Below are 14,173 nucleotides of genomic sequence, written 5' to 3'. Positions count from 1 at the left end.
ACTCCCAGGAAATAGTGGAAGTTATATTTGGAAGGGGAAGAGAGAAGTGAGATCTGAAGGAGAGTTTGAAGGAATTTAATAGAGATTTTGGAGCCAACTGCCATGGAGGTGAGATCTAAACATTCAAAAGTTTTGCTTTACTTTATATAAATTGGAATTTTTTTTTTTGGTGTTCCCAGAGAAATGTAAAGATTTCAAGTGCTCTTCAGTTTATATATATATATATATATATGTATATATATATGTATATGTATATATATATGTATATATATATGTATATGTATATATATATGTATATGTATATGTATATGTGTGTGTATATATATATATATATATATATTTTTTTTTTTTTTTTTTTTTTTTTGAGACAGAGTCTTGCTCTGTCTCCCAGGCTGGAGTGCTGGAGTGCACTGGCACCATCTTGGCTCACTGCAACCTCTGCCTCCCAGGTTCAAGCAATTCTCCCGCCTCAGCCTCCCTAGTAGCTGGGATTACAGGCGCACGCCACCACACCTGGCTAATTTTTGTATTTTTAGTAGAGACGAGGTTTCACCTTGTTGGCCAGGCTGGTGCTTGAACTCCTGACCTCAAGTGATCTGCCCACCTTTGCCTCCCAAAGTGCTGGGATTGCAGGCATGAGCCACCCCACCTGGCCCCCCAAAAAATTATTTTATTTTTGACATAACGCAGTGCTGAGACTGGAGCACAGGGTACCTGAGTTTTATGTGGGTTCCTTTTTCACTCATTTGACCTTCATCCATTGAGCTCTGGCTTATCTGCCAAAATCTGTGCTCAGGGCTGGGCAGAATGGTAGATGACTGAGAACCAGACCCTGCCTTAGGGTCAGGGATGGTCTCAGCTCATGAGGGCTGGAGACGCATACAAAGGGCCTGGAGTTTGGGCATCATTCCGTGGGCAGTGGGAATTGTTATGCAGGAGGAGAAAGCTGGAGAGGTGGAGTACAGGCTCCATATCTGCCCCCAACCCCCCGCCCCCACACTGCTTTTCAAATCCCCTCTGGTCTTTGGCAGCCTGTTAGCTACATGGATAAACCTATCCCGGCTAGACTGCTGAGTAATACCACCCCTTTCTGATAACACAGTCAGATCAACTTTTTTTCTCTAGGCTATCTTGTGTATGTATGGGGGAGTTTGGGAATGGGGCATGGAGTGAGCTTGGTTGACTTTCCTCACATCTTATCACCTCGATGGCCCCCGTGATATCCAATTGTTGGGTTAATCCTGGCTTTCAGAAAATATTCTCCTTGATTATATGGACAAAACTAGATTCAATTCAGTTTTGAGACTACAGGGGAGCCTCAATGGCATGGTCGTGTGACTCGATAAACTCCTGGGGTGGCCGGTGCAGTGGCTCATGCCTGTATTCCTAGCACTTTGAGAGGTCTGGGGAGCTGATCACTTGAGGCCAGGAGTTGGAGAGCAGCCTGCGCAATGTGGCGAAACCATGTCTCTACCAAAAATACAAAAATTAGTTGGGCATGATGGTGCATGCCTGTAGTCTCAGCTACTCGGGAGGCTGAGGTGAGAGGACTGCTTGAACCTGGGAGGCACAGACTGCAGTGAGCAGAGATCGAGTCACTGGACTCCAGTGGTGTGATTTCTGCCTCAAAAAAAAAAAAAAAAAAAAAAAAGCTTCTAGGGAGAACAGACAATGGTCAGAAATTATCCTTGGAAATCCTTAGAAAGACACTAAGTTGGGAGCTGGTCAATTTCTCCCCATCAGTCCAGGGCAGCCTGGTTTTCTCCAGCATCAGAAGAGGTTGCCAATTGTCCAGCTGAGGACCAGCTGAAGTTGGTCGGCTTTTAGAAGTCGTAGGATACGAAAACAACAGATATTTAAATACTAGACTCATGCTTGAGGCTGAGAGGCCCTTGGGAGCAGAGATTACTGGGTGGATCCGAGATCTACACCAGGAGAAGAAGGCGAGGCTTTGCTTGCCACTTGCATTTGTTAATTCTATCTTTTCTCTTATTATTATATTATTATTATTATCATCTGCCGAGTCCCTATCATTGAATTTGCATAATAGAATTGCATAACTTATAGGACCACACTATCATGCAAATTTTTCCTGAAAGTACTTGCCTTTAAATATGACAGTTACCTCTTCCTGACTACAGAAGCTGGGTTTAGGAAAATCAGAGCAATTTCAGTCTCTGATCCTTTCTCAGAGTAAACTTCGGCCAGCTTCACTGTCCACGTGGCTCTACTGAGGGATTACAATCTCCCAGCCAAGTTGGGTCTTGTCCACAGCGATCTTGGAGCCAGTTTTCTGAATAAATCACAAAACTGTTCCACAGTTGCTGTGTTTACTCAAAAACTCATCTTCTATTGCTATGCAAACGTAATAGTTGTGGATATACTTTATATTTGGCAGTACTTTTTATTGTGTGGTGTTTCACAAAGTGTGCTCTGGGGAACACTAGGGAGGTAGGACGCTCTGTGGAAAAATAGTGTCCTGGGCTGAAGAAGTTTGGAAACCACCTGTTCTTGGATGAACATTCACACATCAACTGACCCTGAAGTAGAGACATCTGGGTAACTTGGTTTAATGCAGCATTGGCCAAATTTGTTTGCCCATGAAATCCTCCTCCTTGGTGTACTTTGGGAGCCAGAAACACGGGGAGAAGGAAGCAAAAGGTGGCCAGGTCCTCTCCAGTTTCCTCAGGCTGTGCGTCAAACCTGAGTTAGGAGATGGGGACTAGGTGGCTGTTTTAAAGTAAACTGGCAGCCGGACATGGTGGCTCACACCTGTAATCCCAGCACTTTGGGAGGCTGAGGTGGGTAGATCACTTGAGGCCAGGAGTTCAAGACCAGCCTGGCCAACATGGCAAAACATCGGCTTTACTAAAAATACAAAAATTAGCTGGGCATGGTGGCACTTGCCTGTAGTCCCAGCTACTCAGGTGGCTGAGGCAGCAGAACCACTTGAACCCAGGAGGCAGAGGTTGCAGTGAGCTGAGATCACGCCACAGCACTCCAGCCGGGGCGACAGAGCCAGACTCTCTGGCTTGGCCTTTTCAATATTGGGAAGTGGCCAGAAAGTTACAGGATCTGTTCATGATGCCACAAAGGACTGGGAAAAGGAGATTGGCAAGAATGTCATTGACAATTGTCTTGAGAGAAGAACCCTTTTATGTGTGTGTCCAGGGTGTTGAAATATACAATAAGCCAGTTACAAAGACTACCAGGCACCTCTTCTCTGTGAAGCCCCATCCAGGGGGTTGAAAACTGTCCCCTAAAATTCATATCCACTCAGAATCTCAGAATGTCATCTTATTAGGAAATAGGGTTTTTGCAGATGTAATTAGGCCAGGTTCAAGATGAGATCATCCTGAATGAGGACAGGCCTTAAATCCAGTGGCAAGTGTCCTATGAGGGACAGAAAAGGACACACAAAAATGCATGAGGCAGGTCATGTGAAGACAGAGCAGAGACTGGAGGTATGCAGCCACCAACCAAAGAATTCTAGGGGCCAGCCGGGTGCGGTGGCTCATGCCTGTAATCCCAGCACTTTGGGAGGCCGAGGCGGGCAGGTCACTTGAGGTTGGGATTTCGAGACCAGCCTGGCCAACATGGCGAAATCCTGTCTCCACTAAAAATACAAATATTAGCTGGGTGTAGTGGCACATGCCTGTAGTCCCAACTACTCAAGAGGCTGAGGCAGGAGAATCAATTGAATCTGGGAGGCAGAAGTCGCAGTGAGCTGAGATTGCGCCACTGCACTCCAGCCTTGGCAACAGAGTGAGACTCTGTCTCAAAAAATAAATAATAATATAATTCTAGGAGCCACTAGAAGCTGGAAAAGGCAAGGAGGGATTGTCCCCTAGAGCCTTCAGAAGGAGCTTGGCCCTGCCTGCACCTTGATTTCAGACTTCCAGCCTCCAGAACCATGAGAAAATAAATTTCTGTTGTTTTAACCCCCGAAGTTTGTGTGATTAGTTACAACAGCCCTAGAAGAGTAATACAACCCCCATGCTAGTGTTGCCAATGGGTGAGACAGGATTCCCCATGCAGACTAAAACTGTGAATTATGCAGACTGCATCCCTATCGGTGAAGGTATAATGGATACATGTGAACCTGAGACGTGCTAATTTTTGCACCAGGGTGGATAATTAGTAAGAGGCTGTATGGCAGTCTCGAGGGCTCAGATGCAGCGTGGAACTAGTGAGAGAGATTGCAGAGCACAGGTGAGGTTTTAGGGACACTGGATTTGTCTTTGGGTGATGGAATACAGGAAGGGCAGGTGAAGCCATTAACTGCTAGAGGGATATCAACTAGAAAAGATGTGAAGGCTGAGAGCAGTCTCTCAGGGAGACTAGTCTTGGCAGACCCGAGGAAGAGCGACTTGATAAAGAGACATTGCTGGAAGGAATCCAAGAAGGACAGAGCCACTGGGCCAGGATTGCCGCGCACTGCCACTGCCCAGGCTGGACCTCAGGGGCTCAGGAAGCCATTTTGCGATGAATCACCCCTGCCCCGGGGCCACTTTCCACCGGAGGTGATTCTTAGTTACTTCTCATACTGTCGTTTAACTTTCCTGGAGTTCAAGTCCTGCACTGTATGAACTTTTATGAACTTTTTTTTTTTTTCAAGACAGGGTCTCGCTCTGTCGCCCAGGCTGGAATGCAGTGGCATGATCTCAGCTCACTGCGACCTCTGCCTCCTGGGTTCAAGCAATTCTCCTGCCTCAGCTTCCCGAGTAGCTAAGACTACACACCACCACATCTGGCTAATTTTTGCATTTTTAGTAGAGACAGGGTCTCACTATGTTGGTCAGACTGGTCTCGAACTCCTGGCCTCAGGTGATCGACCCACCTCGGCCTCCCAAAGTGCTGGGATTACAGACGTGAACCACCATGCCCGGCCTAAACTTTCATGAATGTTTGACTACTGGCTCCACCTCTCTTTGCCTCTGTTCTCCAATCTATGAAATGGGGATAATAATATTTGCCTCTTAGAACCCTGAGAAGATGACATAACACCTGGAAGGTGCTTCACCCAGTTTCTGGCACACAACAAATATTTACTTTGTTAGCTGCTAATATATTGACCGCTAGTGGGTGTATGACCTGTAGTTTTACCTACCAGCTTTTGTGTTTCGAAGGGCTTGCTATGTACCTGGCATGGTTCTAACACTTTACACATGGTTTTATTTATTTATTTAAAATATTATTTTTTAGAGATGGGGTCTTGCCCTATTAAGCCCAGGCTGGAGTGAAGTGGCACGATCATAGCTTACTGCAGCCTCAAAGTCCTGGGTTCAAGTGATCCTCTCACTTTAGCCTCCCGAGTAGCTGGGACCACAGGTGTGTGCCACCACACGCAGTTAATTTTTTAAACTTTTTGTAGAGATGGGGTCTTGCTATGTTGCCCAGGCTGGTCTTGAATTCCTGGCCTCAAGCCATCCTCCTGCTTTGACCTCCCAAAGTGCTGGGATCACAGGTGGCAGCCACTCTGCCAGGCCACTCATGATCTTAATTCCCATAACCACTACAAGAGGAAGGAATATTAAGTCTTATCATTTTACAAATAAAGAAACTGAGGTTCAGGGAGGACAGGACACTTGCCCAGAGTCACACAGATGGCAAAGTCAGGATTTGAACTCAAGTCCGACCACTCCCTGAGCCCAGCCTTTTTACGATTGCATCTGATAGTTCACAGGATGATTTTTATGACCTACAAAGATGAAATTTGTCCTTCTAATAGTTATGTAGGTATTGTATTGTGTATTATAAAAATATTGGCTTCCCGTTTACTGTAGTGATGTAGAATTTCCTTTTAAAGTAAACTTATTTGGGCCAGGCACGGTGGCTCATGCCTGTAATCCCTGTACTTTGGGAGGCCGAGGCAGGTGGATCACTTGAGGTCAGGAGTTTGAGACCAGCCTGGCCAACATGGAGGAATCCCATCTCTACTAAAAATACAAAAATTAGTCAGGCATGGGGGCACACACTTGTAATCCCAGCTGCTTGGGAGGCTGAGGTAGGAGGATTGCTTGAACCCAGGAGGTGGAGGTTGTGGTGAGCCAAAATCATGCCACTGCACTACAGCCTGGAAGACAGAGCAAGACTCCATCTTAAAAACTAAACTAAACTAAACTTACTTAACTAATCACAATAGCCAAAAGATGGAAATGCTCAAATGTCCATCAATGAATGGGTGGGTGGGTAAACAAGTTGTGTTTATCCACACAATGGAATATTATTCAGTCATGAAAAGGAATGAAGCACTGATTCATGCTACAACATGGATGGACCTTAAAGATATTATGCTAAGTAAAATAAGCCAGAACCACAAGGATACTGTAGGATTCCACTTACATGAAACATCCGGAATAGATAAATCCACAGAAACAGAAAGCAGTTTGATGGTTACCAGGGGTTGTCGGGGAGAAGGGAATGGGGCGTGACTACTTAAAGGTTATGGAGTTTCATTTTGACGTAATGAAAATGTCTTGGAGTTAGATAAAGGTGATGGTCACATAACGCTATAAAGTACTAAATGCCACTGAATTCACTTTATTTTTACTTTTTTCTTCAGATGAGCATCATGCTCTAAGAATTCACTTTCAAATGGTTAATTTTATGGTATGTCAACTTCACCTCAATAATTAAAAAAAATAAGTTTGAAAAAGGAAGTGAATTTGTTTAAAGAAAAATATGAAGTAAATAATAGCACAGAGGGAGTGCAGGTATGGCAAAAACCACCAAGGTGATACTTAGAAAATACGGCACCGTATTATCCACTAAGCGCGCAAGGCAACTCTTAAAGGGCCAAGGCAGCGTCTTGCTCTCCTTTGTTGCTTTTTTTTCCCCTCTGCAGCCAGCTCAGTGCTTAAGAAAAACTTGTTGAGTTCAGCTCAGCCCGGCTCAGCCTGGCTTTGTTAATTGAGTTAAGGCGAGCTGAGTCGTACTGAATGCACCAGCCGGCTGGCCTGGAGGAGATCCAAGTTGAAGATGTTAAGAATCACACTAATTCAATAAGCGGCTGCGGGGTAGTCTAAGTAATGAGACTGTGTGCCTTTCCTTACCCGACTTACCTGTGTTCAGTTGGCACCTTAGGAGCCATGTCCACTTGGTAATATGATAGTTTTCTCCCCGTAATCCTCTGTGTGTGTTTGCTGAAAACGCCAGGCAAGAGGGGGAAGTCAAAGAAAAATGCAGGCTCAGCTGGAAGCCCCGGGGAAGTGGAAGCAAGGGCCTGAAGGAAGCAGAGGACTTTCTGTCTGTCCGTGCATAGGTGCTGGCAACAACCTACATCTTCCTCGTCCAGAGCTTTCCTGGTGCGTCTAAGCGTAGCAATGTACCGTAGCATCTAGTTCATTCTCTTGACTCTGATTGCCTGGGTTTGAACCTGGCTGATGGACCTCAGACAAATTCATTCACCTTTCTGCACCTTCGTTTATTTGCAGCTATAAAATGAAAATAATACTGCTACCTATGGTATTGGGTTGTTGGGAAGATTCAATGAAATGATACATGTCAAGCACTTAGCACACAGTTCCAGGAATGCTGGAAGTGCTCAGAAAGGTTACCTATGAGGATTAGCACTGATCAGTGCAGCAGAAAGCTGTGTTTGAAATGCATTGCAGGGCCTGGTACACAGACACCAGCTTTCCAGACACTCAGAGGACAGAATAGTGGTTTGTAAACATCCTCCTAAACGGAAGCATGACATGGCTTGCTCATGTAAGTTCTCCTGGAATGGTGATGTAAGCTCCCAGGACCAGGAGGGAATAACAGGAATTGGGATGTTTTTCTCCATTCTGGCAGGATCCTACCTACAGGGAGTCCCCAGAGGCTGCCTGCCCTGGGGGCACAGAACCCAGAGACTAGAAAAAAACTGTGCAAAGGTATCCTCTTCCTTCTCTTTTCTGGGAAGCTGCTCCACTTACATGTTAAGGTCTGCATCCTTGGCCAATAAATCAGAAGCCCACAAATCTTGACCCCATCTGCAAGGCCGTGGGTGCAAAGGGCAAGAGATGGGAATCGGGAGGTGTGGTTTCTCAGATCCCCTTGGCACTCATTTGACGTGTTGTCAGTTTCCTGCCTCTTTCTGAGCTATTGTTCCTTAATTTAGGGTAAGTAGACATAGATTCCAGAAAAATTGCTGATTTGCAAGTTTAAAAAATCTGGGGTGTCCTTTGTTTAAATAAAAGTGTACAAGGAAACTGAATCTACAAAGAGACACAAGAATTGCTGGATGGTTGAAATAGAGGAGGGGAATCCCATAGCCACAGGTCACCCAGCCACCTGCTCTCTTCCACTGGCTTCCTCCTTCCCGCACATTTTGAAAACTACTGACTAGAGTGAATTCCTGCAGCAGGGGCGGGGCTGGAGGCACAGGGCAGGATAGAGCATGGAGGAGGGAGGTGGTCCCGGTGGTGGTCTCTAGCAGCATGAAGATGCAGAGGAGCTGCTGTATGGGTCTGCCTGCCCATTAGTGACAGTGTGACACGGGAGTTTAGGACATCAGGTCTTTTTGTCGATTCCTCCTTCTTCTGGTAAGAGCACCCCAGTTTTCTTTGGGGGAACCACTCACTCTTACTGTGTCCAGGTGGTCTGGCTGGGCTTCAGCAGTGACTGGAACCTGGGCACTTAGATCAGTCCATCCCTGTTGCCAGAGTCACTGCTTCAGCAATGGGCAGCTGAATCTATCAGAGCACACTAAACCTAACCCTGGGACTTTTATGGAGGCAACCAGGAAAAAGGCTGGATTTGACTCTGGAAAGATGTAAAACAGGTGAAGTGAGCCAATCTAAACATGAAACCAATACAGGGAAAAGCAAAGCCAAAAAGCTAGAGAGAGGGAAATTCCTAAAGACTTAACTGAGGGCCTGGATCCAGCCATGCCTGAAGCTTATCCAGACCTTGCTTCTCAAATAATACAATGTACATTTTCCATCCGGTTTAAGTTCATCTAAGTCAGGATTTTGTCACTTTGCAACTGAAACCTCATGACCAATACACATGGGCAGTTTATTTAACCTCTTTCAGTTTCCATTTTCTCATTTACCAAGTATCTCTAAAAATCTATATAAAGCTTACCTTCAAGCAGATCTGTACATATACACACATATATCACAGCAGCAATAAGATATTATCAATAGTGGTAACTATTTTGCATATGCATTAGTGTTAAAGAAGGCAAAACAAAGATTGGTTAATATCAGTTCACTTTCTTTTCTAAATGAGAATGGAGGGGGAGTAAAAGTTAAATAAATGTCCATTACCAACGGGAATGGAGGAAACAGGAGGAGGCCACGTGCTGACCAGAAAATGGGGAGGGGTCTGATGGAGGCTGAGGTTCCCACAGTTCTGCAGATGGAGGCTGAGCCCGAGGGAAACCCCTCAGCCCCTATCAGCCCCCAGGTCCTTGAGGCCTGGGAAAACCAGAGGGACAACTGAGATAGATCTGTCTTAGGAGCAGAAGGTTCAGAGGCCCAGACCCTATAAATGTGGGTCATGCCCCAAAGAAGACACTGCAGCTCATGGCCAACTTGATGCATGGGGCCAGATCTTCCCTGGACAGACAAACTGGCCTTTTGTGGCCGAGAGAGCTGTTCCCGGGGATTGCCATCTTGGAAGGCCATTGTGGTCTGCTCAGGAACCCTTGAAATCGAAAGCCCTGCGCTCTCCTTGTCACAGCCGTCGCACATAAATACCACCAGGGGGGATTTCCCATGGAATTTTTTGCAACCACTCAAATGTTTCATTTCCCATTGTTTGCCAGTCCCTCTCAGAGCCTCAACTGTCAAAGCAGCAGCAAACACAGGCTGCTTTTCCCCCAGGATCCCATGGCGCTCGCTCTTGCGTCCCCTCCATGTTGGGAAGCTGGCATTGGCAGGATATCATCAGCTCAGGCCCGGGAATAAGGTCTGTTAGTCAACTAGTGAAGCAAGTCAGCGAAGGGAATACCCGGCCCTGCCCAGCCCATGCTTGCTGGGGAGGCACAGTTCTGTGCAGTCACCCTCGTTATAATTATCATCATGGTGACGAATAATTGCATTTATACAAAGAAATTCCTTCCACACATCTGAAGCACTTGACCAAAAAATACACAATGCAGCATTAATGTTTCACTTTTAGAATATGAACTTGGCCGGGTGCAGTGGCTCACCCGGGTGCAGTGATTAAATGCCTGTAATCCCAGCACTTTGGGAGGCTGAAGTGGGCAGATCACTTGAAGCCAGGAGTTCGAGACCAGTCTGGCCAACATGGCGAAAGCCCGTCCCTACTAAAAATACAAAAATTAGCCCGGGTGTGCTGGCTCTTGCCCAGCTACTTGGGAGGCTGAGGCATGAGTGAGAATCACTTGAACCCCAGAGGCAGAGGTTGCAGTGAGCCAAGATCGTGCCACTGCACTCCAGCCTGGGCGACAGAATGAGACTCTGTCTCAAAAAAAAATAAATAAATAAACTTGAATCACTTTTTTTCTTGACCCCAGGAGCTTTAATGGAATTCCAAGTTGTAGTCCATACATCAGTGCTGAGAAAAGATGATCCATGTCAACTGATTGATTGACGGATTGAAAAGCATTTGTTTTGAGGCAGGCACCGCACTGTGCATTTTGGGGACCCAAATATGAAAAAGACATAGCTGCCTGTGCATAGGAGCCAAATGGTCTAGAGAGAGGCAGAGATCACAAAGCAACATGGGATGCCAGAGTGACTGGGAGTTTATTTGGGGGATATTGATCTGAAGGGTGAATAGGAGTCTCCAGGCAGGCACATGGGTGGCCCATCACCAGTTCACGTGATCTGAGTACATGTAGGATAAATGACCCCAGGCAAGGCTGGGTGGATGTGGCACAGCCTGACCCTGTGGAGATGAGGAATAGTACGATATCCGTTAAATATCCATTCACTAGGGCCCATCCACTGCACCACAGATGTTGCCCTAGAATGGAGTTTAGCCATGTAGTCATTCATTCATTCATCCATTAAAGCCACAGATATTTACCGAGCACTCACGATGTGCCAAGGAAGACTAGGTGCTGGGGAGGCAGAGGTGATCAAGATCAATCTGGTATCTTTCCTTTTGGAGCTTCCATACTGGTGGAGCAGAGGGCCATTAAACAAATACACGTGTCAAATAATAAAGAAATATATAGTACAGGCTGGGCACGGTGGCTCAAGCCTGTAATCCCAGCACTTTGGGAGGCTGAGGTGGGTGGATCAGTTGAGGTCAGGAGTTCGAGACCAGCCTGGCCAACACGGTGAAAACCTGTCTCTACTAAAATTACAAAAATTAGCCAGGCATGGTGGTACGTGCCTGTAATCCCAGCTACTTGAGAGGCTGAGGCAGGAGAATTGCTTGAACCCAGGAGGTGGAGGTTGCAGTGAGCCAAGATCGTGCCACTGTACTCCATCCTGGGCAATAGAGCAAGACTCCATCTCAAAAAAAAAAAAAAAAAAAGGAACTATACAATACAATAAAAGACAACCTAATACACATAAAAGCATCTGCCTGCCCCTCAGTTTCTGAGCTCCCACTTGACACCAAGTGTTGTGGGGGTACAAATTTGGGTCAACATTTTGTGTAGCAGAACTCTGGGGACCAACCAGAACTCCTGAAAACAGGATGCCACTCAGCAGTGACAGCCTCACTTTCCCATTTACTGGGCTTTTTTTTTTTTTTTTTTTTTTTTTTAACATCTCTGGACACCTTGGATCCTGCCAGCAAGCCTCGGGAGGCAGTTTAGGAGTTATTTTCTTTACTTCTCAGGGGAGGAATCCGAGGCTTGGAGAGGAGGAGGGATTGACCGGCCTGGGGTCACACAGCTAGAAAGGCCAAGATTGCTATGCCGTTTTTTTTTTTTTTTTTTTTTTTTTACAAAGAAAGAACAGCGGAGCAAGGTGGCCATTTTATTTTCTCAAAGCCACACTACCTGCTGCTACACAGGACATAAAAGTGCAAAATTCCACCAGGAAGGGAAACAAAACAGTCTTGAGACAGCCATGTCTCAGAGGTGAAGATTGGAGGAGATTTTAATATAGGGTGTGAATTCCAATTCACATCTCTTCCAACGGGACCTCTTTCCGAAGTCCCGGGAACTAACATTCATCAACACCTCTGACATCCCAGAGGATCGCAACATTCCTGCCAAGGGTTATTACTCCCATTTCCCAGATGAAGAGATTGAGTCCCTGCAGCACGCAATTAGACAGTAGCAGAACCAGAATTTGAACTCTGATCCACCCCGATTCTGGGACCTGTGGAGCTCCAGGTACCGAGAGCTGGCTCTCGCCTGGGGCCTTGGAGTCTGGGTAGCTGGATGCTGGGAGAGGCTGCGGAGGTAAGGGCCCAGGGGCTGAGGTTGCAGCGGCTGCCCGGGAATGCGGCCCTTGCACGCCCACTTTTTAACACAGTGCCATCCCTGACAGACACCCTTGTCCTTTTCCTGTGCTGCCCTTCGTAACACCATAAATAAAGCCTTAGAGTAACGTGACCTGAGCCAGGCAGTAAATGATGGCACTGTCAGTTGTACACGACTGTTGAAACAAACACAGACTGTAATCATCGTGCTGTACGGGGAGAAAGACATTTGGCAAATGAGATTCCATTTTCACATTGGTTTGTGCTGAGCATATAAATTTCCTGCGGGCCGGCCAGCATTGGGGATGTGTAATTGATTGCCTGCATTATAATAAACAAGCTGTGACAGGTGATCATTCATCATATTCCGCTGAACGTTCCAGCACACCAGAAAACGGAGGAAGAGAGGGAACGCGCGAGCAAGGGGAGAGGAGAGGAGGAACCTGGGGGAGGGGAGGGGGTCGGAAAGACCGAGTATTCCCGACAGACAGAAAAACCAGGGGAGGGGCGGGGGAGGGAATCCGCTGAGCGGGCGGGGGAAAGTGAAAGCAATTACTATAATTCTTTTGATTATCTAATTTGTTCTTTCTGGCCTTCGTTATATGACCCTCCCCCCCTCCCCCCACTCCAACATAGAAGGTCCCCCACGGGGACTTGGGAAGGCACAGAGAACGCTCCCTCCACGATCGAGGGAAGGAAGGGGGGAGGCAGGTGGGGGAGGGGCCGCGTCTAGTTGTAACCGGAGTAGATACATTCGGGAAAACCTGGGGGGAGAAGGAGGAGGAGGAGGGGAGGAGCGTGTGCAGGACTTAGCTTTGCTCTTGCACTGAGATGCCTCCAGTCGGATGGATAGGAACCAGCCTCTTTAAATACATTTTTTTAAAGGGTGTCTGAAAAACAAGTGAAAAGTTCCTTTTATTGGAGAAAAAGGACAGCATCCAAGTTGGCATCAGATGTGGTTCCACAAGCCTGTCATATGGTGCTCTCATTCCTCCCCCTCGCTCCCTCCGCCCCGCCCCAGCTCCCACCTCCCCACCCCCACTGCAGCCCCAGCCTCTCTGTCTCTCTCTCTGTGCCCTTGGCCCGGGGCTGGGGGTCGAACAGCAACTGCTGGGAAGCACCCTCCTCTCCAGGAGCTCCCACCTAGACAGACAGAAGGCGGAGGTACACTGGCATATGAAGGACAGAAAGACAAATGCAGAGCTCTCGAGCCAGCACACGCATTAAATAAGTACTTACATTATGCAAAAGCCAAGGGCCTCAACAAGGGGGTGAATGAAGAAGGGGGACAAGGAGGGCTGCGTCCCAGACTAGTTTCCCCAGCTCTCACCCTGCCAATTTCCAGCCCCCGCCTCCCTATCCCGCAAGCGTCCTCCCATTCCCTCCCTGGTACCAAGCGCTTAGAGCAGGTGGGAGCCTCGGACCCAGAAGGCTGGGAGCTGAGGAGGCGTGGCTTGCGCTAACATCGGGGGCGGGGCCTGGCTGGGGCTTAGTCGGGGCGGGGCCCACGCCGGAGGGGGCGGGGCGAGCACAGAAGAAAGAGCGTTAGGGGCTCCTTTGCCACTCGTTGCACGCTGCTTCCCAGAGTCTTCTGCTATTTCATCGTAGCCTTAACAACTGGAATCTGTCGCCTTCGAGATGTTCCTAAAGTCACTGCTTTGGGAGAATCTGTTCAAGGGACCTGCTTTCCAAAAGCAATGACATCAGCCCAGCAACGTGATCTGTGTTGTCCTTGAAGGATTAACAACTCATTTGGGTCTCCCAAGAGCCCTAGGAGGTAGCCAGGGCAGGTGCTGTTGTCCCCGTCTCACAACGACCTATGAAGTGCATG

At 47.3% G+C, this 14,173-nt stretch overlaps 1 long non-coding RNA gene across 2 annotated transcripts, besides 5 other annotated features; it reads right to left on the bottom strand.

Moving 5' to 3' along the window:
• Positions 6,658 to 7,158: an enhancer, noted in NCBI's record as "H3K27ac hESC enhancer chr12:116977845-116978345 (GRCh37/hg19 assembly coordinates)". NCBI's record gives its function as "activates a minimal SCP1, AML or CMV promoter by ChIP-STARR-seq in naive H9 embryonic stem cells {active_cell/tissue: H9 hESC(naive)}" and the evidence as "EXISTENCE:reporter gene assay evidence [ECO:0000049][PMID:30033119]".
• Positions 9,584 to 9,813: an enhancer, noted in NCBI's record as "active region_7093". NCBI's record gives its function as "activates an Ori minimal core promoter by ATAC-STARR-seq in GM12878 lymphoblastoid cells {active_cell/tissue: GM12878}" and the evidence as "EXISTENCE:reporter gene assay evidence [ECO:0000049][PMID:35858748]".
• On the bottom strand, positions 10,685 to 13,776 carry LINC00173 (long intergenic non-protein coding RNA 173). Of its 2 annotated transcripts, NR_027346.1 has the most exons (3): positions 13,582 to 13,763; positions 10,987 to 11,078; positions 10,685 to 10,845 (listed from the first exon to the last, which is right to left on the bottom strand). It is a non-coding gene; the product is annotated as a long intergenic non-protein coding RNA 173 (long non-coding RNA). The 2 variants fall into 2 exon arrangements; NR_027345.1 differs by lacking the exons at positions 10,685 to 10,845; positions 10,987 to 11,078 and adding an exon at positions 11,677 to 13,232 and having other exon boundaries at positions 13,736 to 13,776.
• Positions 11,854 to 12,388: an enhancer, noted in NCBI's record as "H3K27ac-H3K4me1 hESC enhancer chr12:116972615-116973149 (GRCh37/hg19 assembly coordinates)". NCBI's record gives its function as "activates a minimal SCP1, AML or CMV promoter by ChIP-STARR-seq in naive H9 embryonic stem cells {active_cell/tissue: H9 hESC(naive)}" and the evidence as "EXISTENCE:reporter gene assay evidence [ECO:0000049][PMID:30033119]".
• Positions 13,751 to 13,952: a silencer, noted in NCBI's record as "fragment chr12:116971051-116971252 (GRCh37/hg19 assembly coordinates)". NCBI's record gives its function as "represses an EF-1alpha promoter that drives an FKBP-Casp9 reporter gene in an ReSE screen in K562 erythroleukemia cells {active_cell/tissue: K562}" and the evidence as "EXISTENCE:reporter gene assay evidence [ECO:0000049][PMID:32094911]".
• Positions 13,797 to 13,846: a silencer, noted in NCBI's record as "silent region_4903". NCBI's record gives its function as "represses an Ori minimal core promoter by ATAC-STARR-seq in GM12878 lymphoblastoid cells {active_cell/tissue: GM12878}" and the evidence as "EXISTENCE:reporter gene assay evidence [ECO:0000049][PMID:35858748]".

This window comes from Homo sapiens, chromosome 12 (assembly GCF_000001405.40).
Source record: "Homo sapiens chromosome 12, GRCh38.p14 Primary Assembly".
Classification (NCBI taxonomy): Eukaryota; Metazoa; Chordata; class Mammalia; order Primates; family Hominidae; genus Homo; species Homo sapiens.
The sequence above is the reverse complement of the archived record's forward strand: the minus strand, read 5'-3'. Positions and strand labels throughout refer to the sequence as shown.